The sequence below is a fragment of the Homo sapiens genome, chromosome 2 (genome assembly GCF_000001405.40).
Source record: "Homo sapiens chromosome 2, GRCh38.p14 Primary Assembly".
Taxonomy (NCBI): Eukaryota; Metazoa; Chordata; class Mammalia; order Primates; family Hominidae; genus Homo; species Homo sapiens.
Window position 1 is genome coordinate 181,456,181 of NC_000002.12, and position 23,562 is coordinate 181,479,742.

Here is a 23,562-nt window from a genome sequence, read left to right on the forward strand (position 1 = left end):
TTTTTGAAACTTTGTATCAGTCCTGCCTTACTCTTGGTGGAATCCTGTGGTCCTAGTCAAGTGCCTGCTCCATGAATGTGCTGAATAAATGAATAAGCATTTTAATTGTGTATCTGTCATTAGTGTCAGATGTGTTATTTATTCCAGCATGGTTTTAGCACACAGACACACTCTTTGATGCAGACTTTTCTTTTCTTTTTACATATAGCAACAATAAAAAACTAGACTTTCATCTCCTGAAAATATCAGTCTAATAATCACCTATGGCTGTCTCTCTGGTTGCTGAAGGAAAAAAAAAAAAAAGGCAGGGCACACCTGGATTGCATTAGAATGAGACTCACTACCCAGTTCAGGTGTGTTGCGTTGTGGGTCTCCGGCACATTTCAGAGGCTCATTAGGACCCTGACCCCACACTGGGGTTTACACCCCTAAAAGCAGGTGTGTCCCGTGGCAACTGAGTGGGTGCGTGAAAAGGGGGGATCATCAATTACCAGCTGGAGCAATCCGAATCGGTTAAAGTGAATCAAGTCACAGTGCTTCCTTAACCCAACCTCTCTGTTGGGGTCAGCCACAGCCTAAACCGCCTGCCGTTCAGCCTGAGAGGCTGCTGCTAGCCTGCTCACGCATGCAGCCCGGGCTGCAGAGGAAGTGTGGGGAGGAAGGAAGTGGGTATAGAAGGGTGCTGAGATGTGGGTCTTGAAGAGAATAGCCATAACGTCTTTGTCACTAAAATGTTCCCCAGGGGCCTTCGGCGAGTCTTTTTGTTTGGTTTTTTGTTTTTAATCTGTGGCTCTTGATAATTTATCTAGTGGTTGCCTACACCTGAAAAACAAGACACAGTGTTTAACTATCAACGAAAGAACTGGACGGCTCCCCGCCGCAGTCCCACTCCCCGAGTTTGTGGCTGGCATTTGGGCCACGCCGGGCTGGGCGGTCACAGCGAGGGGCGCGCAGTTTGGGGTCACACAGCTCCGCTTCTAGGCCCCAACCACCGTTAAAAGGGGAAGCCCGTGCCCCATCAGGTCCGCTCTTGCTGAGCCCAGAGCCATCCCGCGCTCTGCGGGCTGGGAGGCCCGGGCCAGGACGCGAGTCCTGCGCAGCCGAGGTTCCCCAGCGCCCCCTGCAGCCGCGCGTAGGCAGAGACGGAGCCCGGCCCTGCGCCTCCGCACCACGCCCGGGACCCCACCCAGCGGCCCGTACCCGGAGAAGCAGCGCGAGCACCCGAAGCTCCCGGCTGGCGGCAGAAACCGGGAGTGGGGCCGGGCGAGTGCGCGGCATCCCAGGCCGGCCCGAACGCTCCGCCCGCGGTGGGCCGACTTCCCCTCCTCTTCCCTCTCTCCTTCCTTTAGCCCGCTGGCGCCGGACACGCTGCGCCTCATCTCTTGGGGCGTTCTTCCCCGTTGGCCAACCGTCGCATCCCGTGCAACTTTGGGGTAGTGGCCGTTTAGTGTTGAATGTTCCCCACCGAGAGCGCATGGCTTGGGAAGCGAGGCGCGAACCCGGCCCCCGAAGGGCCGCCGTCCGGGAGACGGTGATGCTGTTGCTGTGCCTGGGGGTCCCGACCGGCCGCCCCTACAACGTGGACACTGAGAGCGCGCTGCTTTACCAGGGCCCCCACAACACGCTGTTCGGCTACTCGGTCGTGCTGCACAGCCACGGGGCGAACCGATGGTGAGTAGAGTTGGACTGATGCGCCCTCAGCAGCTCAGAGCGGCGTGAGAATGGCGCCCTAGGGATTCCCTGCCCGATTCAAACTTTCCTCCCTCCCAAGGAGGCAGGAGGGAAACGCTGCGAGAGCCAGCTCGCTGGAAATCTGCCAGGGAAACTAACTTATCTTGGGGCGGCAGCGCCCCGGGTGCGTTATGGTGCAAGGTCTTGGAGCTTCGAGTCGGGGGTGGTGGGCGGAGGAGGAGGTGGGGAAGCTGCCCTGCTGCGGACTGCACATCTGTGGCGACAGGGAGCTCAGTGGGCAGCACAGCTCACGTCTGAGCGCACGTGCACGTGTCTCGCTTTAGGCTCCTAGTGGGTGCGCCCACTGCCAACTGGCTCGCCAACGCTTCAGTGATCAATCCCGGGGCGATTTACAGATGCAGGATCGGAAAGAATCCCGGCCAGACGTGCGAACAGCTCCAGCTGGGTGAGTTGGGTATGGGACCAGGAGTTAGTGACCTCCCGACCCCCCATGTGGACCCCACCATAGGGCAAGTCCTGGAAAGATTCACGTTGCCTGTTACTTCTGGTTTAAAGAGCATAAAGTTTTCAGTTTCAACTCCATCTCATCTTGCCTCCTTAATATAAAAGGGATTCCCTTTCTGTTAATATCGTTCTCCCTTTTCCTTATGGCAATGATTGCAGTACTCTGACAACTATGCTAGAGAAATTTCTTATGATACCTTCTCTTCATCTCTCCCCGTCTCTCCGTGTGTAAAGCACATTTTAGACTCTCTCAGCGTATTAAGGACAGGATCCAGCTAAGCCAAGACTTGAGAATTTTATTTCCATCTTTGACCTATCAACCCTCTTAAAGAACAGGCTAAGGAGCATATCAGGAATAGCAATTGGAATTGATCCCATATCCCGTCGTTTAACCTAAAGGCCTAAAAAAAAAAGTGATAGTTTTACTTACAATATACAATCTAAAAGAAAAGGAAAATTGGCATCTTCATCGTTAATGTAGTATAATTTTCCATTCCCAAAACCGTCATCCAAAACTCATGTTATATGGGTCCATCTTTTTGCAGTCATTTCTCAATGTCTCAGATTTGTGACAAGTTGAAAAATGTGTACTGATAGAGGGGAGAAGTTTCATGTTTCAAAGCCAAAGACAAGTTTGTTGCACACAGGCAAGTGGGGAAAGAGGAAGGAATATTAAATAACAAGACCTATCTTGTTCCAAAGTGTTACTGCTATATATATTGCTTAACTTTTTTCCCCTTAAAGCAACCCTGGGTCATGGTTGACATTGTTCCTAGTTTATGTATGAGGACTGTGGCTCAGAGTTGCAAATACCTTTTTAAAAGTTACTTAGCTAGTGACTGATAGGTGGGAACTAAAGTCAAACTAGGGTCTGAATGCGTCCAAAGTCTAAGCCATTTTCTTCCATGTATGTATCTTCAATGCAAATAAAATTAAGTGAATGGTTTAATATGTTGTCTGCTGAGCTGATGGGTCATCTGTAAACGGTGAATAAAATTGGTACTTCTTTATATTTCTTTGCTATAAATGGACTTTTGAGATTAGTTATTGGATCTTTAACTTCTTTTGTATTTTATAGTAGTCTTTGCTCTTTTTCAAACTGTGAAGCTGGTTCCCTTCATTCAGATGAATTCAGATAGAGTATAAACATAATGGAATTTTTACTTTTAACTCAGAGCACCTATAAAAGTCTACGAGTTGTCTGTAGCATGTAGAATAAGCCCTAGCCTCTTGTTAAGCATCCTCAATACCAGAAATCACAGTAGGAATGCATAAAACATTCACAGACCCATACATTTTGGAATGATTTTGCAAAGCATAATTTTCATTGCATGAGAGAGTTGTGGGTGAAGAATTAGGGAGTGGAGCCGACAACTTTGGTCTGCCAGAGGATCTTGGCAAGGTCTCAGGAGGGAGCAATTTTATTTCTGTTGTCCTGTCATAGTTTCCTGATCCATGACATTATAACTACTGATATTTAGTGCCTACTTCCTGTCTGGATGGACACTGAATCTATTTCTGGATGTCTGTGTTTAACTGGATAAATCATGACATAATACTGTATTAAATTTAAGATAATGCCTGTCAATGGAAGGAAAAAATTGTTTGGGCATGTGTAGCATGGGAGTTGACTGTTCTCAGAGAAATGTAAACATAGTAGATATGTCATAGATATGAATTAAATGAAGATCTTTTGGATGGATGAATGAATAAAAGTGGAGTGAAAATTTATCAACCTGACTGATGAGTAAGATAATTGATTAGAAATGATGAGCCAAACTGATTTTTAACTTTCAAAATTTTGGCCAATCTACAAGGTATTTACTGGGATGAAAGGAAAAAAGGCAAGATTCCTAGTCAGTCAATGAGTTAAAACATTAATAGTGATAGTAATGCCTTGAGTATTTGCCGAAGAGTTGACTGAAGTTATTTCTCATGTAACATTCTAAAGAATACAGATATCTTTTATTCCTCATGTAAAGAAACTGCCTCTCTATTCAGAATAAATTCAGTGGTAGCTTGAAGCTATAAAATAGGGATTGAGGCTACAGTCTAGAAATAAAACACTAAAAACAATACATTGGTAATAAAGATAATTTAGGATTCTTAGGTTTGTGGGCTATGCACTATTTTGTATGAAGAAGTTTCAAGAGTGTGTGTAAATATATATAAGCCATCTTCTGTAGAAGAGTGTGTGTGTGTGTGTGTGTGTGTGTGTGTGTGTGTGAATCTTCTGTATAAAATAGCTTCAGTTGTCCTGTTTCAAATGTGGGTGACTCTAATGTTTCAAAAATGCTTAGCTCAGTACTGACACATAATACATTCAAAAAATAGTGGTTCTTCTTTATTGTTTACTTAAATCTATTATCTGTATGTTATCTGTAACAAGCAGGCTGAGGTTAATAGGGACAATTGATAAACTGAACCAAAAGTTTAAAAATTAAAAGGTAATACATTAAAAGGTAGAAGTTGAAATGAAACACAATGAGAAATTTTTGTTGGCTGAAGAAAAAAATGTTATAATGATTAAAGATCGATCTGTGATTGCCATGTCAGTAAGGTATCTTCTTTCCTTTGGAATAGCTTTACTTGCTATCAAGAACCTGAAGGTGTAGGGTCTTCAAATGGTGCCCATCTCCCACACAATTAAAAATATCCACATGGACTAGTCTTTGAGTCTCTGTAGAATTTCAGATCAGTGGTTGATTCAGATAGACTCCTCCCCTCAAAAGAGAAGGTCCATATCTCGCCTACCCTACCCTCTGTGGACAAGGTGTCCCATATGGTATATTCATGCCATAAGCAGAAGTGAGCCTGCCTGTTTATCTAGAATGCCCAGGGTGAGAGACGTTAGGCATGAGATACCCCTTTTAGTCAAGCAAGTTGACTGCAGAGCCAGCACCAAGAGAGTTGCCTGGATAGTACCGCAAGGTGCTTTTCTTCCTGCATATATATTGTTGGCCTCCTTTTACCTCCCTGACTCCCCAAGAGACATCTCTTCTCTCACTTCTTTTGTACCAGAGGAAAGTGGTCTCTCTGCCAGGAGGGTCTGGGCCCAGACTTGCTCGTGAAGACTATATCTGAGGAGACCCAGGTGATTTCTACATGTCCACTTTCCACCCGGGCACTCTGCATCATCAGGCTTGTTTAAAGGAAACTTTAATCACAGCTGGTTCCTAAATTAAGGTGTCACAAATAATGACTCAATTAATATAGTTAAGCATAGTCCATCCATGGACTATCAATATTCAAATAGAACATAATAAAACATAGAAATGATTATCAAATTACACTAAAAAGATGGTCTTTATTTGGTTATTCAAATATGTTTCCAGATCTTTCATTACTTTGGAGTTACCACTGAAAGCATTATACACACACTAACTCTCATTTGGGTAATAGTCTAAAGTTATACAATTACACTATCCAGTATAGTATCCACTAACCACAGGTGGCTTTGAACACATAAAATGTGGCTAGTCAGCGATGAGAGGGCTGTAATGTAAATTACATACTGGCTTTTGAATACTTAGTATAAGAAAACTCATTAATTTTTATGATATATATTGAAACAAACACTTTAAAATTATTGATTACATAATATTTTGGATTTATTAGGCGAAATAAAATTTTAGGTTAAATAAAATTAATTTTATTTTTACTTTTTTCATGTGGCTATTATAAAATTTAAAATTTCCAATGGGCTTGTATTATATTTCTATTGGACAGCACTGCTGTAGAGAAACATTAAGTTCTCTGTGTAAAAATAACGCTATCTCTTTAGGAGATGCTTTCCTGATATTTATGCATAAATGAGTAGAACTTTCACTTTCTTTTCTAGACTAAGTGTTCTATAGTTACTGGGCCTTCAAGCTGCCTGCCTGTCCCTCTCTTACAGGAAAGACCCATCTCAAGTTAGTCACCATTACCCATATTTAGATTTCTTTCTGGAAATTTTATTACCTTAGCCAGCCTCCTGGTTCATATTATATAACCTATTTGAAAGAATTTAATTAGCATTGCATTATTAAACTAATGATTACCTAATCCTCACTTCTACTTGATTCATAGGAGTTATTAGCTTAACATTAAATAGCAAATATCTCACTGTTGAAACTTCAAATATGTTTTTCTTGATAACTTTTTACTTTTTCATTTGCAATGTGCTTTAAATTGTAGCTTATGAAGCTGAGATTGCAGATTGGTCATTTTGAAAAATCATCCCTGAATGAAGGCTGTTATACAATTATGTAGAAAATCAAGACAGAGAGCTTCACTAATAAACTATCAGGTTACCAGAAAGAAGTTTCCTTATTTCCAGCAGTTTCCCAAACTTTATGTCCCAAAAGGATGAGGTTTCCACCTAATTTGAGAGATGAGGCTTTCTAAATGCACTTTAGTTTTTGCCTTAAGTTTACTTGGTCACTGAGTGATATACCCAATGACTTGAAAATATATCCCCTTGGCAACAGTTCTAGGGTCAGATGCTGAAATCCGTTGCACATGTGGGTAATTTATCCATTCAGTTGTTCATTGAGGGATGCCTAAGGGCCTGAACCTGGGCATACAAAAGAAACATACTCCTTGTCCCAAAGGCTTTAAAGTTTATAAGATAGGTTATTATAGGAAAGTATGGTGAGATTTAATCTAGGTAAGACAATAAAGTGATGCATTCCTGAAGAATTGGTGTTCAAGTGGGGGAACTGAAAAATAATCAGAAGTTAGCCAGAGGAAGAGGCTATGGAAAAGTTTGCCAGAAAGAGCAAACTGTGTGTATAAAGACCCTGAAGTCTTTGAGAGCACGATGCTTTTGAAGAACTAAAAATTGTGTACAGTTGCACTATGGAGTGTGAGCTAAACTGTAGGTTAGAGAGGCAGGCAGGAATTACTTCTGATACAACTCTAAGTATGAATTTACCCTAGGATATTTAAAACTGGGGAGTGACATGATCAGATTTGTGTGTTTGACAGATTCTCTGGTTGCAGGTTAGTGAATGCTTTGGAGTAACTGGGTCAAGACTGAAGGCAATGAGGCAGTTGTAGGAAGATTTTGTTATAATTTAGACTACAGATGACAAGTGTCTGTACAAGGACACTGGCAATAGCAGTGGAGAAGAACATGGAGATTCTGAAGGTATTTAGGAGATAGCACTTGGTAATTATTGAATGAAAGAGATGAGTGAGAATGTTCCAAAGATGTTACTGAAGTTTCTAATTTGGGCTGTGACATGGATGATGATCCAATATACTGAAAAAGGGAAGAGCAGCAGGTTTTCTGGCAAAATGATGAGTTTCGTTGGCTTGAGATTCCTGTGAGACATAGAAGTAAAAATCTAGTGATCAGTTCTATGATCAGTTCCATGTATGGGTGTGGTAGACAGTAGAGAGGTCTGTACTAGCAAATCAGAGGTGAGTAATTGACGTAACCCCATTCACCTCCAAGGCTTTGATTACCATCTCTCTGGGGTAAATAGATCAAATGGCCAATGGCAAATTTCTAAGGATTCCTACAGTTCGAGAAGTGATTAGAATAGTGCTGCTCAAGTCTGGCTGTAACTTAAATTCTCATGCAGAGCTTTTAACAGTTCTGGTGGCCCATCTCAAACTACTAGAATCTCTGGGGTAAGTCTATAGGGCACCAGTAGTTTCCAGAGGTCCCCAGATGATTCCAGTATTCATCCATGCTTGAGAACCGCTGGAGAAGAAAAGAGGCTGAAAAAAAGGCTAAGAGGGTGAAGCCAAAGAGGTAGCAAGAAAAATCAGGTCAATCTGACATTAACCTGATTAAAGGAAGAGAGTGTTTTGAGAAGAGGTGAGTAGTTGGCAGTAGTAAAGGTTGCCAAGACATCAACCAGGGTGGTAAATTATGAGGTCTCATTAGATTTAGAGAATTAGTTCATTAGTAACCTCGGTAAGACAAGCTTTAATGGTGAATCCACTGCAGAGGGTTGAGAAGTGAGAAACAATAGCAAGCGTCAATAACTTTTAACTGGGTTCTTCCTTCATTAATACATTTTATTGATTACTTATGTATTGGAAATACACAGTTGAATAAGGCATGGTTAAAGCCCTTGAGTAACTCAGTTGAGATGATGGGAGAGACAGGTAAATGGACAATTAATTATGAGATAATGTAATAAGCATGACAATAGACAGGTACATAGTGATGAGAAGAAATGAATGGGAGAAGGCTTCCTGGAGGAGTGAAATCTGAGTAGTGGACCCAGTTCTGACTGGTTTTGAAGAGCACATGTAAGGGCTCAATAAATGTGAAATAATTTTCATCTTTTTCACATTTGGGCAAAATCCCCTGGGATTTGCTGCACATTTCAGCCTCATTCCAAAGTGTCTAGGTCCGCCTTGGGTTCCAAAGACTCATATCAGGTAGTTCAGACAGTAACACCTGCTCCTGAAATAGGGAGCTTGGAAATGACTGTCTTTAAAAGCAGGGATTTTTAATTTTGAGATTAGCTGGAAACATCAAATTAGAATATGGAAGTGGACATACAGGTGACAGGTCTGGGCTCAGTGTGCTTGTTCTCATTTTACCTCTGAGAATTTTTAAAAATCATAGAAAATCTTTTTTATATAAACTATGTAAAACACTATAATTCACAAAAATGTTCAGAAAATAGATTGTAGACTTAGTTCTAAAAACCCCTTTTATGGGACTCCTTGTGTGCAGTGGATTAGACATGTTCTTTTGACATTATGCCCTGTGTAGAAAATGCTGGTCAATGTGCACCATCTGTTTGTGAATCCCTTCAAGGTCTACCTCACCACAATACCAGTCTGTTTTCTTGCGGAAGTTTTCTAGAAGTCATTAGACTACAATCATTTTGTCTGCCAGTCATTGTCAATATCACATTTTATCCTTTAAACTCTGCCCAGAGAAACGTCCTTTGATATCTGTAACTCCTCATCTCATTCTGATCCTCTATTGGCCAGGATAATATGATACATTCCTCACTGGTTTTTCTCATGTATTTTTAAGCCTTCCTATCTTCCTGACCTCCTTTAATTCTTTCATTGCTGTCTTTTTTTCTTTTTCTTTTTCAACCATCCTACCCTGTGGATTCCAAAACCAAGCATGGAACTTTAATACTGACCACCAAGCATATTTCCCTGGAGTATTTTCTGTTTACATTTTTGTATTTTCTTGTTTCAAAGATAGACAAAGTGGCATCCACACATTAGTGATTGTTTTTCAAATGAATTTTTAAATCCAAGAGATTAATTGAAAACCATGGAGGTTCAGAATTTTCTTTCCTTATTTTCTAATGTTAGAGGTTTAAATATGCTCTTTTAATAGGTTGTTTCAGAATAGTATAGGTTTATTCAAAATGTCCATAGTTGAAAATAATGGAAAAGTACTAACAACTAATTGTCTGGCAGCATCAGATGGTGGTTGATAGTGTGAGTTTTAATCCCTTCCTTCCCCACTTACAAGTGGTGTGACCTTGGGCAAGTGCTTAGTCATCCCTTGTTTCAGATTCTGCATCCATAAAATTGGGATGATAATAGTATTGTCTACTTCATAGGGATGTTATGAAAAGTGAGTTAATACATGTCTTTGCATGTATTAAAACTGTGGTACGTAGTAAGCATGCAATAAGTATTAGTAATTAGAGACTAACTTTCCCTCTTTAAATTATGCTTACAAAATGTATCAGCTGGGGCACATTTTTCAGCTTTAGTTATTAAAAAGACTTGCGTACGTTTTCTGTGGGATTTTGAAGAAGTCCTGGCAGAGACCCCAAACCTAAAATCAAACCCAGAAGTGACCTAGTTGTTAGAGTTCTGAGGCCTCATGATGACTCAGGATCAGCCCAGATTTATAAAATTGCAACCATAAAGCTTGGCACTACTCTCTGGGGACATTTACCTCTTGAACTCTTTCTAAATAGAATAGAATAAGATAAAAAAAAATAGCTGAAATAACTGGCTTTTTCAGGACTACAATTATATAAACTGTTTCTCACATAAATTGAGCATGATTATTGGCCATTGTGAGATTTTATTTAGGCAATATGAAAAGATGACATTTAAACACATTTTTTTAAAAAAACATACTTTGAGAATGGTTTCCAACTTTGATGTTTTGCTCTTTTGACTCTTATTCTCCACTAGACTAGCTGGAGGAAAAGAGTTCTAGAAGTTTGGTACTTTTATGTCCTGTATCACCTCTAAAACCCAAGGATATTTTACTTTCCATCACCCAAAATTATTTTTATTGTAGAATTCATAAACATCATTATCTTTTAGAAACATTGCCACCAGGTTTAACTAGATGTGTGAAAAGAGTACATAGTTTAATATAGTCAATTATTATATGAATTAGTATTAATGGATTTAGTAAGTATTAGGACTTAAAAGGAAAAACTAAATTAAGGGGCCATTTTAATTAAAAAGCTAAAGACTGCTGATCAATTCTTGCAGCATTGTGAGCGCCCTCTGCTGGCTCAGTTCAAAGCACCATAATGCACGTACCCTGAGGAGCAGAGGCATTGATTATTTATTGACCACCTACTAGGTGCCAGGCATTCTTGCATACACAAGCATAAGTTTTCTGTCATCCTCATAGCCCTGCAATGGTAAATTTTGTCATGTTCTCATATTTGAATTGATTTTCTCACTTTTAATATATTTTTCCTAATCTGAAGTTATGTGAGTGAAGGGATTATATACTTTAATTATTGCTTTTATAAAAAATATCTTGAATGAATGACTCTTTATAAAATATGGAATTGGAACAAGGGTCATTCATGTTTTAGGATTAAGAAAAACTTTAGAGTGGAACAATTTGAAATGTATGGGTTTTGTCTTACAATGGAATAGAGCTTCAGCTTAAAAAAAAAAGACAGTTGGTGGAAGGTAAGGGCTTTTACTGCTTTTCTGAAACTTCACATCACATCATGAGTTTTGAAAGATCAGGTAAGTATATATGTTGTCTTAGTAGCCAGAAAGCCAGACTGAGAGCCCCAGTCAAATGTCTGAATTGGTGGGGAAGTGACAGTACGATGACGCAGGTAGATAAAGCAGGCATTTACTTGCATTAGAAAGTCCCAAGCTCTCCTAGCCAAAAAGTATTTCACTAGCACTGTCAAAAGTTATATAGAAAGAAGACCTTAGAGTCTGACCTTTTCCCTGGTCCTTCTTTCTTTAGTGGAAATGCCAAAATACTGAGAACCATTCTAAATGGAGGAAAAGAGCAGGGCAAGATAGGGAACAAGTAAGTGACCTTTTTCTTGAACAAGTGAAAGTCGATTGTACAGTCTGTGGGCATATTTGCTATATTTTATATATTTTCAGCTAAAAGCTTCAGAAAGTGGAATAGATTTCAGTTAATTCATATGTCTGGAATATTTCTAGAGTTCTATGCTATAGAGTGAAATAACTTAGAGATCAAAGATGCTATTTTTTAATTCTAATCTTTCCACTTACGGATTTGGGCAAGTTATTTGATTCCTTTAAGACTCAATTTTCTCTTCTGTAGGGTAGGATTAATAATACAGCAATCCTCTGCTACTACTGTGGGTGTAAAATGAGTTAATGTGTATGATTACAGTTCCCCAATAATGATATGCCACATATATTTTATGAGCCAGGTTATATGCTGCATTGCATGTGCAGCTTAATATGCTTACATTAATCTTTAATATGATGATGCCAATGGCAACTAACATTTGCATGTTTTCGCTGCCAGGCTGTCATCCAAGCACGTCACACATATCTCATTTACTCCACAGTCCTTGCAGAAACCCTCGGAGATAGGCATCTTCTGAGGACCCCAGCTGATTCTGTCTTAAGTCATCCCACTCACAAATCATCCTTTGTAAAGATCTTCAAACTCAGAGACTGTTTCCTTTCAGACCATCTGTTACTGTCTTAAAATTGAAGAAAATAATATTTTGGAAGAGAAGTAGGGGAGAATCATAGTAAAGAGAAAAGACCTCTCCAAAGCTTAGATCTCTGAGAGTTTGGTGATAATTATGCAGTAGTACATTCTAGTAAAGGATTTTTTTGTGGTGATATAATGTATTTCAAAATTCCCTCCCTCATACATACTGAGTTCCTGCCTACTGCATGTAAGGCACTATCTTGAGCTGTGGGAATGCTGCTGTCAACAAAAGTCAATCTGCCCTCATGGAGGTGACATACAAGGTCAAATATCTAATCTCCCATAGTCCCTGTCACACTTGGAGCAATGACACTAAAACTGGTGATATGAATAAGAATGAAAGGGGGAGGAGTAAAGAATGTATTTAACTAGCTTTGTAGTATTTCTTTGATCAAAATTCCTGTTCATTTGCATTTATATACACATTTATATATGCTGATACACATCAGTAGGAAGAAATAAACTGTAGTAAGCATGCATTTTTACATTTTCTTTCCCAAATTAAAAAAAATAGGAAAGAGAAAGGCTTAAAAGGAGATGGTTTTTAATGTGGCTTTGTTTTTTAAATATCTAGTGGAAAAATGCATTCAACTGTGGAAAGAATTAGTCATTCTAGTTGTTTAAAAGCAGGGAAAATTATCACCATGTTAATTTCTGCTGACCTCTTTTATGTTAAACCATGTAAAGTACTTTTTCAATTATGGAGCTGATTTGATTTACTAAGAGTTTAGATGAGTAATTTATGAACTGAATTGAAAACCAGATTATAAATCACTTCAGCCTGACATTTGGATAAAATATAATCTGAGGTTGTTTATGGTGTTCTGTCAGAGAAATTCATGAGAATTAGCTCTCATGGCAGTTCTAATAATCGTCATTTTTGACCAACTTAGAAATATTGTATTTCTACCCAAAGACAATTTGCTTAACATTTGATATTTCAATAGGTAACTAAACAAAGGGGGAACAAAGGATATTACTTTTATTTTTAAAACAGTAGGTTTTTAAATAATACAAGAAAAGGCATAACCATCTGTTAATACATCAAGCTTGTCCATGTGGTCCAGGATGGCTTTGAATGCTGCCCAACACCAATCCGTAAACTTAGAATGGCGATCATTAAAAAGTCAGGAAACAACAGGTGCTGGAGAGATTGTGGAGAAATAGGAACACTTTTACACTGTTGATGGGACTGTAAACTAGTTCAACCATTGTGGAAGACAGTGTGGCGATTCCTCAAGGATCTAGAACTAGAAAATACCATTTGACCCAGCCATCCCATGACTGGGTATATACCCAAAGGATTATAAATCATGCTGCTATAAAGACACATTCACATGTATGTTTATTGCGGCACTATTCTCAATAGCAAAGACTTGGAACCAACCCAAATGTCCATCAATGTAGACTGGATTAAGAAAATGTGGCACATATACACCATGAAATACTATGCAGCCATAAAAAAGGATGAGTTCATGTCCTTTGTAGGGACATGGATGAAATTGGAAATCATCATTCTCAGTAAACTATCACAAGAACAAAAAACCAAACACCGCATGTTCTCACTCACAGGTAGGAATTGAACAATGAGAACACTTGGACACAGGAAGGGGAACATCACACACCGGGGCCTGTCGTGGGGTGGGGGGATGGGGGAGGGATAGCATTAGGAGATATACCTAATGTAAATGACGAGTTAATGGGTACAGGACACCAACATGGCACATGTATACATATGTAACAAACCTGCATGTTGTGCACATGTACCCTGGAACTTAAAGTATAATAATAAAAAAAAAAGATATAAATGTTGGCAAGAATGTGGAAAAATGGGGAACCCTTGCCCACTGTTGATGGGAAAGTAAGTATAACTATAATGGAAAATAGTATGGAGATTCCTCAAAAATTTAAAAATAGAACTATTACAAGACTCAGCAATCTCACTGAAGGTATATATCCAAAGAAAATAAAATCAATATGTCAAAGAGGAAAAAAAATATGAGATTTTCTTGCAATTTTTTTTTTAGCTGATCAGTTATCATTAGTGTCAGTGTACTTTACGTATGGCCCAAAACAATTCTTCCAGTATGGCCCAGGGAAACCAAATATTGGACACCCCTGAGCTACATTGTAGAGCTATTGTTCACAAGCCCAACCATATGCTACAACTACCTGGGGGGCTTCAAAAAAATTCTTATGTCTGGTTCTTAACCCAGACATGTCAAGTCTGAGCCTCTAAGAGTGGGGCCCAAGTGGAGGTACTGGTTTCAAACTCCCTTCAGTTGATTCTAACGTCCAGTCAAGGCTGAGTACTGAGTGGAAAAGGAGTGGACTCAGGATCACACAGGTTAAGGGAGAAAAGCTTTGGAGAAGGCCATGATCACAAGCTGATCATGTAGCAGTCTTACTTCTTCTACCAAGATTCCGCAGGCACAACAAAAGAAAAGAGAAGCTGGGCATGGTGGTGGGCACCTATATCCCCAGCTACATAGGAGGCTGAAGTGGGAGGATTACAAGAGCCCAGGAGTTTGAGGCTGCAGTGAGCTATGATCACGCCAATGCACTGCAGCCTAGATGACAGAGTGAGATCCTATCTCCCTAAAAAATAAAAAGAGAAAAAGTCCCAGAAATTAAGAAAAAACCCAGAACACTAGGGGAAATTACAGGATGTTCTCTGAACAGATTCTAACCTGTAACCAGTACTTGAAAGTTACCTCAATATTATTGCTGTTGGGGGCTGCCTCTATGGTAAAAACAGTGTTAAGAAGTGAAAAGGGGAAACATATCTAAATGTAGTATATGTATTTGCTCACTTATTAAGATTGGTTTTTCTTCTGTGGAAGAATGATTGTTTCATGACTATTTCCATGAACTTTCTTTCTGGCTATGCATTCATTCTTTTTACACACATTTTGAATTAAGATATATGAAATAAGCAGAAGATGTTTAGTCAAACCATAATAGAAGCTTTGAATTGTTTTTCGTTTACTGACCTTTCCATTTCAGCACCCATTTCTGGGCTGTTTGTCGGGGGTGGGATTATGACAAAGATACAGTCCTGGGCAAGATGAATGAGGTCACTATTTACTAAGCCTTGGAAATAGGCCAGAAACATTGTAAATAAATAAATGTAGTTAACCTTAACAAAAATGAAAATACTTATTCCTACAAGATATTAATCAATTTCACCACAATTTCCTCTGAGTGATCGCATCCTGTGTGTCTAAGAACCCTTGAGTGCTGATGTTGAGAGTCATCTTTCAGTATCTAAGAGTGGATTAACTAACAACTGTATAGGAGATATTTGAAAATTAATGAATCAGAAATTTTATCTATATATTAGAAGGCAACTATTGTTTGGAACCACATTGTAACAGATATGAGATTACATCTAGTGGCATTTTGACCCCCACCCCACCAATTTCCCACTTACACACCTGCCATATGTTTTTCTATTTGGAATCTCTTCTGCTCACGGGTGAATGAACCACATCACTGGCTTCCTGGGAAAGCTCTTCCTACATTTATTCTTAAGTAAACATCTCTTTCTTGTGGCTTCTGGAGGGCTAATTGTTCTCCTATTTCTAAGAATCATTATTTTTAGCCTAGAACAAGAAGAAGGGAAGGGCATGAGCCACACTGGAAATAAAGTCCCAGGACTTTGGTGAGACTACATGGGACACATCTTAAAATAGCCTAATGATTTAGTGGCCCTTTTCCCAGAGAGCTGAGAGGCACTCATGTGGAGAGAAAGAAGTTTCAGGGAAGTGATGTTAGTAAGTGAGAAAGTGAGTAGTTTGTGGTGTGTGTAAACCTCAGTGTGAGCCTGGGCAGTGATGACATTGTGATGTTACCTGATGGAGCTAAAACTAAAACAAGAAGGAGGCAATGCAGAATATTAAATAGATAAGAGTTCATAATGCAAGAGTTTGTCTAGTCTTCACTTAGAAATTTACAAAACAGTTCAGCTAAGAAACCGATAACAATACACTATTTTTGCACATAATTTTTTGGCCATTTTCATTAAGCTATTTACATGGTACATTGTGGTTCTAAACTATTGTCTTTTTAATCTTCTGGGTGGCTCTCTCTAGAATAATAGATTTGTTTCTAAATATTGGATGTAATCGTAATGAAAGTGTCTATTATACACGCCATATTATTTGTGACCCCCATCCTCTCCTGTCCTTAATTTTCTTCTTGCTCAATTGTCTTAACTGAGTGTTGACTATAAATTCATAAAAATTTTAGTATTTTCAGAGGGAACTTATTAACATGGCTATTGTAGTAAATAACAGGAACTTCATGTAGACTGAATCTACCATTTGTTATCTATTTTTGACAGTAAACAATTGATTTTAGTGAAAACTGAAAATTGTATTATAATGAAAATTAAAATGCCTTGTTTGTCATTCTCTTTTAATTTAAATTTTGTTGGTTTGGCATTAGGTAGCCACAATAACAACTCCCTATTTTAGACCTTACCTATCTCCCACACACAATTTTTTTTCTCCTACCATCTTCCCTCTGTTTTCCCCTTCTCTTTTCGTGTCATTTCTCTCTTCATCCCTTCCTTTCTCAAGTTAACACGGAGACCTTATGTGTCCACCTGGACTGTTCTTTACCAAGGTTTGGGCCACAGCAAGACTCCTTTCCAATTCTAATAGCAACCATTGCCAATCAACCCCAGCATTCTTTGTCCAGACCTAGTCTTAGTCCTCCTCCCTTCAGTCTAGTTCTCCAGGAAGCCATTACCAGTTAGTGGGGGTTGCCATTTATTCTATGTGTATGCTGTCGAGAAAAACATTCTCTGCATTTCACAGTAACAGTGTTCCTGACCATGAGAACCACTTAGGGCAGGGGTCCCCAATCCCTGGGCTGTGGATGGGTACTGGCCCGTGGCCTGGTAGGAACTGGGCTGCACAGCAGGAGGTGAGCAGTGGACCAGTGAGCATTCCCGCCTGAGCTTTGCCTCTGTCAGATCAGTGGTGGCATTAGATTCTCGTAGGAGTGCAAACCCTATTACGAACTGCACAGCCGTGGGATCTAGGTTGTGCTTTCCTTAGCAGAATCTAATGCCAGATGATCTGAGGTGGAACAGTTTCATTCCAAACCTTACTACTGCCCATGGAAAAAATTGTCTTCACGAAACCAGTCCTTGGTGCCAAAAAGATTGGGAACCACTGACCTAGGGTAATCAGGGCCTCACCTGGATCTGCTGGAGCAGAATCTCCAGAGGAGGAGCTCAAACATTTTCTTCACTTCAGTTGTGATTAAAGGTTTTGTTTTTCCTGAATGACATTTTAGAAAACGAAAGTATAAACAAACATCTTCCCACACTCCTTAAACAAAATCTCTCCTACCCAGGAGACTTAGTGCAAATAATTTCACTTCTCAAATATTAGCCTTACCAGGCATAGTGGCTTATGCTGGTAATCCCAGCACTTTAGGAGGTCAAAGCAAGAGGATCACTTGAGGCAAGAGTTCAAGACCAGTATGGGTAACATAGTGAGACCCCCATTGGTACCAAAATAAAAATATTAGTTTGTATCTCTGTAAGTGTTCTGAGTTTGCCCAGGAAGCTACATTTAGGGGTCAACATTATAGGAGGAGACAAAGTGCCAATGATATAGAGAATGGTCACCATAAATTCATGAAAACTTGGTACCTAGTGACTAGTGTTCAAAATTAACAAACCGAAGTTCCACATCCTTATCCAATCAAATTGATGCTAATGTATTTATCTGCCAGGAATTAAGAACAGATGCAATAGAATTGTCATATGCCAACTGAAGAGGGTGAAAAGAAAGACAGCAAAAAGAATATTAGGATACTGCATCTTACTCTTCCCCAAAGTAACTTATTTAAAATTACTTAACATGGGATTTTAATAGGAACCCAGCTATAACACAAATAATTTTTTCTAACAAAAGAAAATAATGATCACTGTGAAGACCACTTCTTATATAGTATAGAAGTACTATCTAGTACATGAGCATTTTATTTATGTTTGGCTATTCATGCATTTGCCAAAGTATCTATTGAAGTTTTTTGTTTACTACTGAGATAATCTGGTTTCCAAATCACTTTTATCTCTGTTGAAAACATGAGTCATATTCCAATAAATGTAAACATAGGGCAGTTTCTTATAAACGCAAGGCATTATTGGTATGCTAATTGTATGTTCCACTTTCTGCATGCTTAATCATCACCTTCCAGCTCCAATAAATTGTACCTTAATTGCTGAGGATGTATTATAGTCTTTCTATTCTTAATATCTCAGTAGAAGAAACATTTTTAAAAGTGCTCTGATAATATTGCTTACGTTGTTAGATAAATGGCTAATTCTTTTCCAAACGTTAGACACAGCAGTTATAGTTGCACAACCTGGTATTAGCTTTAAGTGGTTTTCCCCACTCCTAGTCCTGTTAGCTATCTCTTATATGATTGAGTCTATCTTTTTATGGTGCTACCAGTCAGAGGTCATTTCTACAACCAAAGTCACCTTGTATTAGAGAATAATTAGTTGGCACAGAGTAATTCACATTTATCCTCACATTGTGCACTGAATATAAGATAGAGAAGTAGTTAACAGAAAAATACTGGGGATGAGTGCACAGTTTTCTCTTCTTTTGTAGAATGTTTTCAATACAACTGATAAAATTATTTTCACATGCTATAGGTAGCCCTAATGGAGAACCTTGTGGAAAGACTTGTTTGGAAGAGAGAGACAATCAGTGGTTGGGGGTCACACTTTCCAGACAGCCAGGAGAAAATGGATCCATCGTGGTAGGTATTGGAACTGGTCCACAGATCCATCGTGAAATCAGCTATCCTGGGTGCAGCTTTCACATCATTTGGTCTACTTTTATTTTATTCAGACTTGTGGGCATAGATGGAAAAATATATTTTACATAAAGAATGAAAATAAGCTCCCCACTGGTGGTTGCTATGGAGTGCCCCCTGATTTACGAACAGAACTGAGTAAAAGAATAGCTCCGTGTTATCAAGGTAAGGCATGATTTTGATACGAATTAGATAAAGATAAGTAAGTGAATACCTTTTAGTGTTTTAAATTTATGTTCAAGTTTAGATGTTCAGAGGAGAGGGAGATCTTCTAAGTAATTATGTTCTTTTTAACTACTCAATTTCTTTCTTTACCCAATTGCAATAGCATTATTTTTCATAAATGCACTTTGTGCTATAAAAATTCTACAATTTGAATAACTCTGAAATCTAGCTCTTTAACTACCCACTTTTGCATCAAATTTACTTTCAATTTGGTATAGGTGAGACTAGTACCCAGCAAATATAGGACATTTAAATTGTGAAATTATATTGGAAGTCTGATTAAAAAGAAAGACTTTAGGTTTCCTTTTTTACCTTTAGCTTCCAGGAGTAATTGGGAAGAATAATCAGTGTAAGCAAATCTTTCATTCGCACTCACTATCTCTTTTTCTAATTTACATGTTTTCCTTCAAGCAGCAAGAGATTCGTGTCTTGAGTTTGAAACATTTTTCTCATGGTAACTCTATGCTATAGGTAGCATCAGCAAGTACAGAGCTAGGACATAACAGAAGTGAGCAGAATTGGGGTGAATGTCAACAGAGCATGTCAGAGGATATCTGCAGCAAAACTAAAATCCAACAATGCGTCTTTAGGAGCTAAGAAACATATGAATGCAAATTCATAATTTTCTAACCACCCTCACTCAAAAAAAATCCCTCAGCACGCAAAGAAAAATTTTATTGGTTGGCAAAACTTTGGCCAAGTATTTGAGTTCAATTATGGGTGCTAATAAGACTTTGGTCTTTCTTCCTTGGAATGTGATGTCACAGAGCAGCTTATATTACATATATTCCTATTTTGCCTTCGGATACCCAAAAGATAAAAAAGTGAATATTGATTCTCAGTTGCAATAAAACTCAGTCTTGATTTCTGTATGTTTGCTGTCTTCTTTTTCCTAATAGTTTTCGGTTTATCTTTAAAATATTTTCATAGTAGAGTTTTTAGTTTTTCTCGGATATACATAGCCACATACTACAAAAATCTCAAGATGCCATAAACCTAACCCATCTACAATTGTAAAATACAGGATCAGGTAAGATATATTTTTTTAAAGGGATGAAAACTCCTGACCAGAAATGGTCATTATAAATGACTTACCAATTTATTGAAGTTTTCTGCTTAGCAAAGCCAAAAGGAAGCTGTGGTTCCAATTCTTATTTTCATAGAAGTTTACTTATATCATTTTTTGGAAGAAGCAAAGCTTTGCCCCCTTAGAAAGTTCCAAAAGCATTCATTCATGGGACTTTGTAATAATAGACCTTTATGTCCATGCAGATCTTGATTCAGTCTATATTTCAGTTGGGCAAAATCTAAGAAAGGACACTCTCTTCAATTAATGGTGTTAGCAATAGCAAAGACATGGAATCAACCTAAATGCACATCAATGTTGGATTGGATAAAGAAACTGTGATACATACACACTGTAGAATACTACACAGGCATAAAAAATAACGAGATTATGTCCTTTGCAGCAACTTATATGGAGCTGGAGGCCAATAACCTAAGCGAACTAACACAGGAACAGAAAACCAAATACCACATGTTCTCACTTATAAGTGGGAGCTAAACATTGAGTACATATGGACACAAGGGACACAAAGTAGGCACAAACACTAGGGCCTACCTGGTGGTAGACGGTGGGAGCAGAGAGAGGATTGAAAAACTACCTATCAGGTACTATGCCTATTACCTGCATGGGGAAATAATCTGTACATCAAACCCCTACAACACGCAATTTATCTATGCAACAAACTTGCACATGAACCCTGAACCTGAAAGTTTTTTTTTAAATGCCTTTGGGAAAATTGGCTATCTGCGTGCAAAAGAATGAAATTGAACGCTTATCTTAGCAAATATACCAAAGTCAACTAAAATGGATTAAAGACTTAAACACGATACCTGAAACCATAAAATTTCTAGTGGAAAACATAAGAGAAAAGCTACTTGACATTAGTCTAGGCAATGAGTTTTTGGAAATTACACCAAAAGCTCAAACAACAAAAGCAAAAATAAACAAATGAGACTATATTAGAAAGCTCCTGCATAGCAAGGGAGATAATCAACAGAGTGAAGAGACAGTCTGCAGAATGGGAAATAATATTCGCATAAGTCCTATATATTTAAAATGTATAAGGATCTCACCAACTCGATAGCAAAAAACCAAATAACTGATTAAAAATTAGTCAAGAGACCAAATGGCTTTCTTTCCAAAGAAGGCATCAAAATGGCCAATAAGTAGATGAAAAGGTGCTTAACATCACCAATCATCAAGGAAATGCAAATTACAAACCACTATGAAATATCACTTCACACCTATTAGAATTGTCATTATCAAAAAGGCAAGAGATAACAAGTGTTGGCGAAGGTGTGAAGAAAAGGGAACCCTTGCACACTGTTGGCTGGAATGTAAATTGGTACAGCCATTATAGAAAACAGTAGAGAAGTTACTCAAATTAAAAATAAAACTACCATATGGTCCAGCAATCCCTCTTCTGGGTATATATCCAAAGGAAATGAAATCAGTACCACATAAAGAGATCTGCGTTTTTATGTTCATTGCAGCAGCATTCACAATAGCCAAGTTACAGAAACAAGCTTAGTGTCCATTGACAGATGAATGAATGGATAAGGAATTGTGTGAGGTGTATATATACACACATATATACATAAACATATACAATGGAGTATTATTCAGCCTTTAAAAAAGGAAATTCTGACTTTTGTGACAACATGGATGACCCCGAAGGACATTATTTTAAGTGAAATAAGCTAGGCCCAGAAAGACAAATACTGTATGATCTCACCTATCTGTGGAATCTAAAAAAGTCAAATACATAGAGAAGAAGGTGAGCAGAGAGAGGGTTAGGAATAGGAAGATGTTGGTGAAAGATGTTGGCATTTGTGTAGGATGAATAAGTCTAGAGATCTAATGTACAGCATGAGGACTGGAGTTAATAATTGTGCACTGGAAATTTGCCAAGAGAGTAGATTTCACTCTAAATGCACAAAAAAGATGACCGTGAGGAGGTATGTAAAGTGTAGTAACTGTTTCACTATGTATACGCATATCAAACCTGATGTTGTACACCTTAGATATACACAGTAAAAAGAAAGCATGGGCTCAAAATCACAAATCCTACCTCTGTCTTACTCATTTGACAAAAATTTTTTGAGTATATGCTGTGTGTGCTTCCTATGAAGAAGCAGAGGGAGATATTTTTATTGCCATTTCATAGGGATATTTTGAATACTAATATGGAAGGGATTTGTTATATCAAGGTTACTGGTTTTTATTTTTAAAAAATACAAACTATAGACCTTAAAGGACATTTTTGTAAGGATTTAAGAAACAAATTATGGAGATTTTATCTTTAAGATAAAATTCTGAGTTGTTTTAATATTTCATTTTAGATTATGTGAAAAAATTTGGAGAAAATTTTGCATCATGTCAAGCTGGAATATCCAGTTTTTACACAAAGGTAATTGTTCAAAAAATAGCTGCTATAAATGTTTACATATAGAATCTTAATTCTTCTCATGGTTTGGAAGACTGATATGTTTTAAAGTAAAAATTGTGTAACATCTTCATCATGTCTCTTAAACTTGAGTATTACAACTTAATTTTTGCCACTCAAAATTCCACATATATTTCAATAAAATATCAATATTTAGGTGGCTATACTGCATAAGATGAATGAAAATCTATACTAAAGAACATTTCTTTCATCAACAATTTAATGAAAATCAAAAGTAGCTATGGTTAATTGTCTTGTTAACTTAGGTATTGAAAATATCAACCCAAGTATGTTATTTTAAATTTCTAGTTGAGGGGCAAAGGAAGAATATCAGTCTATATTTTTCATTAAATTATGATAATTGGGAAATTTAAGAATTTAATATCCCCTTAAATCAGATAGACAATATTCCCAAGATTTCTTACTCTCTTTCTAACATTCTAGGATATGTATGAAAGGGCACAGTTGTACTCAACCCCAAATCTCTCAGTTTTCTTAAAAACACACTGTGAATTCAGGAATGTTTTTTGACTCCATGAAGATCAGGCACTATATCAAGTTTGGGGTTGACAGTGTCTGCACATATTAACAGTTATATTAAAATGCTTACAAAGAAAATGCTTTCTTCAGTTTAAGTTGACTTTTTTTAAGTTTAGGATTGTTTAGGAGTATAGAAATATGCTAAAGATATTTAATTGCTGAAAGTGTTCATACTATACCAGGCAAGGGCATGCTCATTCCAATCTTCTCCTAAATTTTCCTCTGTATAACAAAATATGCCCCACATTCCATTGGACTTTTTTCCCTAAGCTAACATTATTAGAAATGTTTTCCCTAAGCTAACATTATTAGTCAGGGGTTCTTTGCAAATAGAAGTAAATT

At 38.1% G+C, this 23,562-nt stretch overlaps 1 protein-coding gene across 2 annotated transcripts in view, besides 7 other annotated features; it reads left to right on the forward strand.

The window, feature by feature from the left end:
* Positions 713–822: an enhancer, noted in NCBI's record as "active region_16828". NCBI's record gives its function as "activates an Ori minimal core promoter by ATAC-STARR-seq in GM12878 lymphoblastoid cells {active_cell/tissue: GM12878}" and the evidence as "EXISTENCE:reporter gene assay evidence [ECO:0000049][PMID:35858748]".
* Positions 1,003–1,392: a silencer, noted in NCBI's record as "silent region_12156". NCBI's record gives its function as "represses an Ori minimal core promoter by ATAC-STARR-seq in GM12878 lymphoblastoid cells {active_cell/tissue: GM12878}" and the evidence as "EXISTENCE:reporter gene assay evidence [ECO:0000049][PMID:35858748]".
* Positions 1,025–23,562, forward strand: part of ITGA4 (integrin subunit alpha 4) — an 81,736-nt gene continuing 59,198 nt past the window's right edge. Inside the window, exons 1-5 of one of the 2 annotated variants that reach the window (NM_001316312.2) lie at positions 1,025–1,671; positions 2,016–2,137; positions 18,780–18,886; positions 18,979–19,108; positions 19,640–20,040. In NM_001316312.2, coding sequence (NP_001303241.1) covers positions 1,475–1,671; positions 2,016–2,137; positions 18,780–18,886; positions 18,979–19,108; positions 19,640–19,671 — 588 coding nt within the window. In that variant the 5' untranslated portion in view covers positions 1,025–1,474 and the 3' untranslated portion in view covers positions 19,672–20,040. Of the gene's footprint in view, positions 1,672–2,015; positions 2,138–18,779; positions 18,887–18,978; positions 19,109–19,639; positions 20,041–22,576; positions 22,645–23,562 lie in introns of those variants that run through there. The other variant, NM_000885.6, reaches the window with a different exon arrangement.
* Positions 1,543–1,732: an enhancer, noted in NCBI's record as "active region_16829". NCBI's record gives its function as "activates an Ori minimal core promoter by ATAC-STARR-seq in GM12878 lymphoblastoid cells {active_cell/tissue: GM12878}" and the evidence as "EXISTENCE:reporter gene assay evidence [ECO:0000049][PMID:35858748]".
* Positions 1,793–1,842: an enhancer, noted in NCBI's record as "active region_16830". NCBI's record gives its function as "activates an Ori minimal core promoter by ATAC-STARR-seq in GM12878 lymphoblastoid cells {active_cell/tissue: GM12878}" and the evidence as "EXISTENCE:reporter gene assay evidence [ECO:0000049][PMID:35858748]".
* Positions 2,203–2,252: an enhancer, noted in NCBI's record as "active region_16831". NCBI's record gives its function as "activates an Ori minimal core promoter by ATAC-STARR-seq in GM12878 lymphoblastoid cells {active_cell/tissue: GM12878}" and the evidence as "EXISTENCE:reporter gene assay evidence [ECO:0000049][PMID:35858748]".
* Positions 5,030–5,079: an enhancer, noted in NCBI's record as "active region_16832". NCBI's record gives its function as "activates an Ori minimal core promoter by ATAC-STARR-seq in GM12878 lymphoblastoid cells {active_cell/tissue: GM12878}" and the evidence as "EXISTENCE:reporter gene assay evidence [ECO:0000049][PMID:35858748]".
* Positions 6,098–6,147: an enhancer, noted in NCBI's record as "active region_16833". NCBI's record gives its function as "activates an Ori minimal core promoter by ATAC-STARR-seq in GM12878 lymphoblastoid cells {active_cell/tissue: GM12878}" and the evidence as "EXISTENCE:reporter gene assay evidence [ECO:0000049][PMID:35858748]".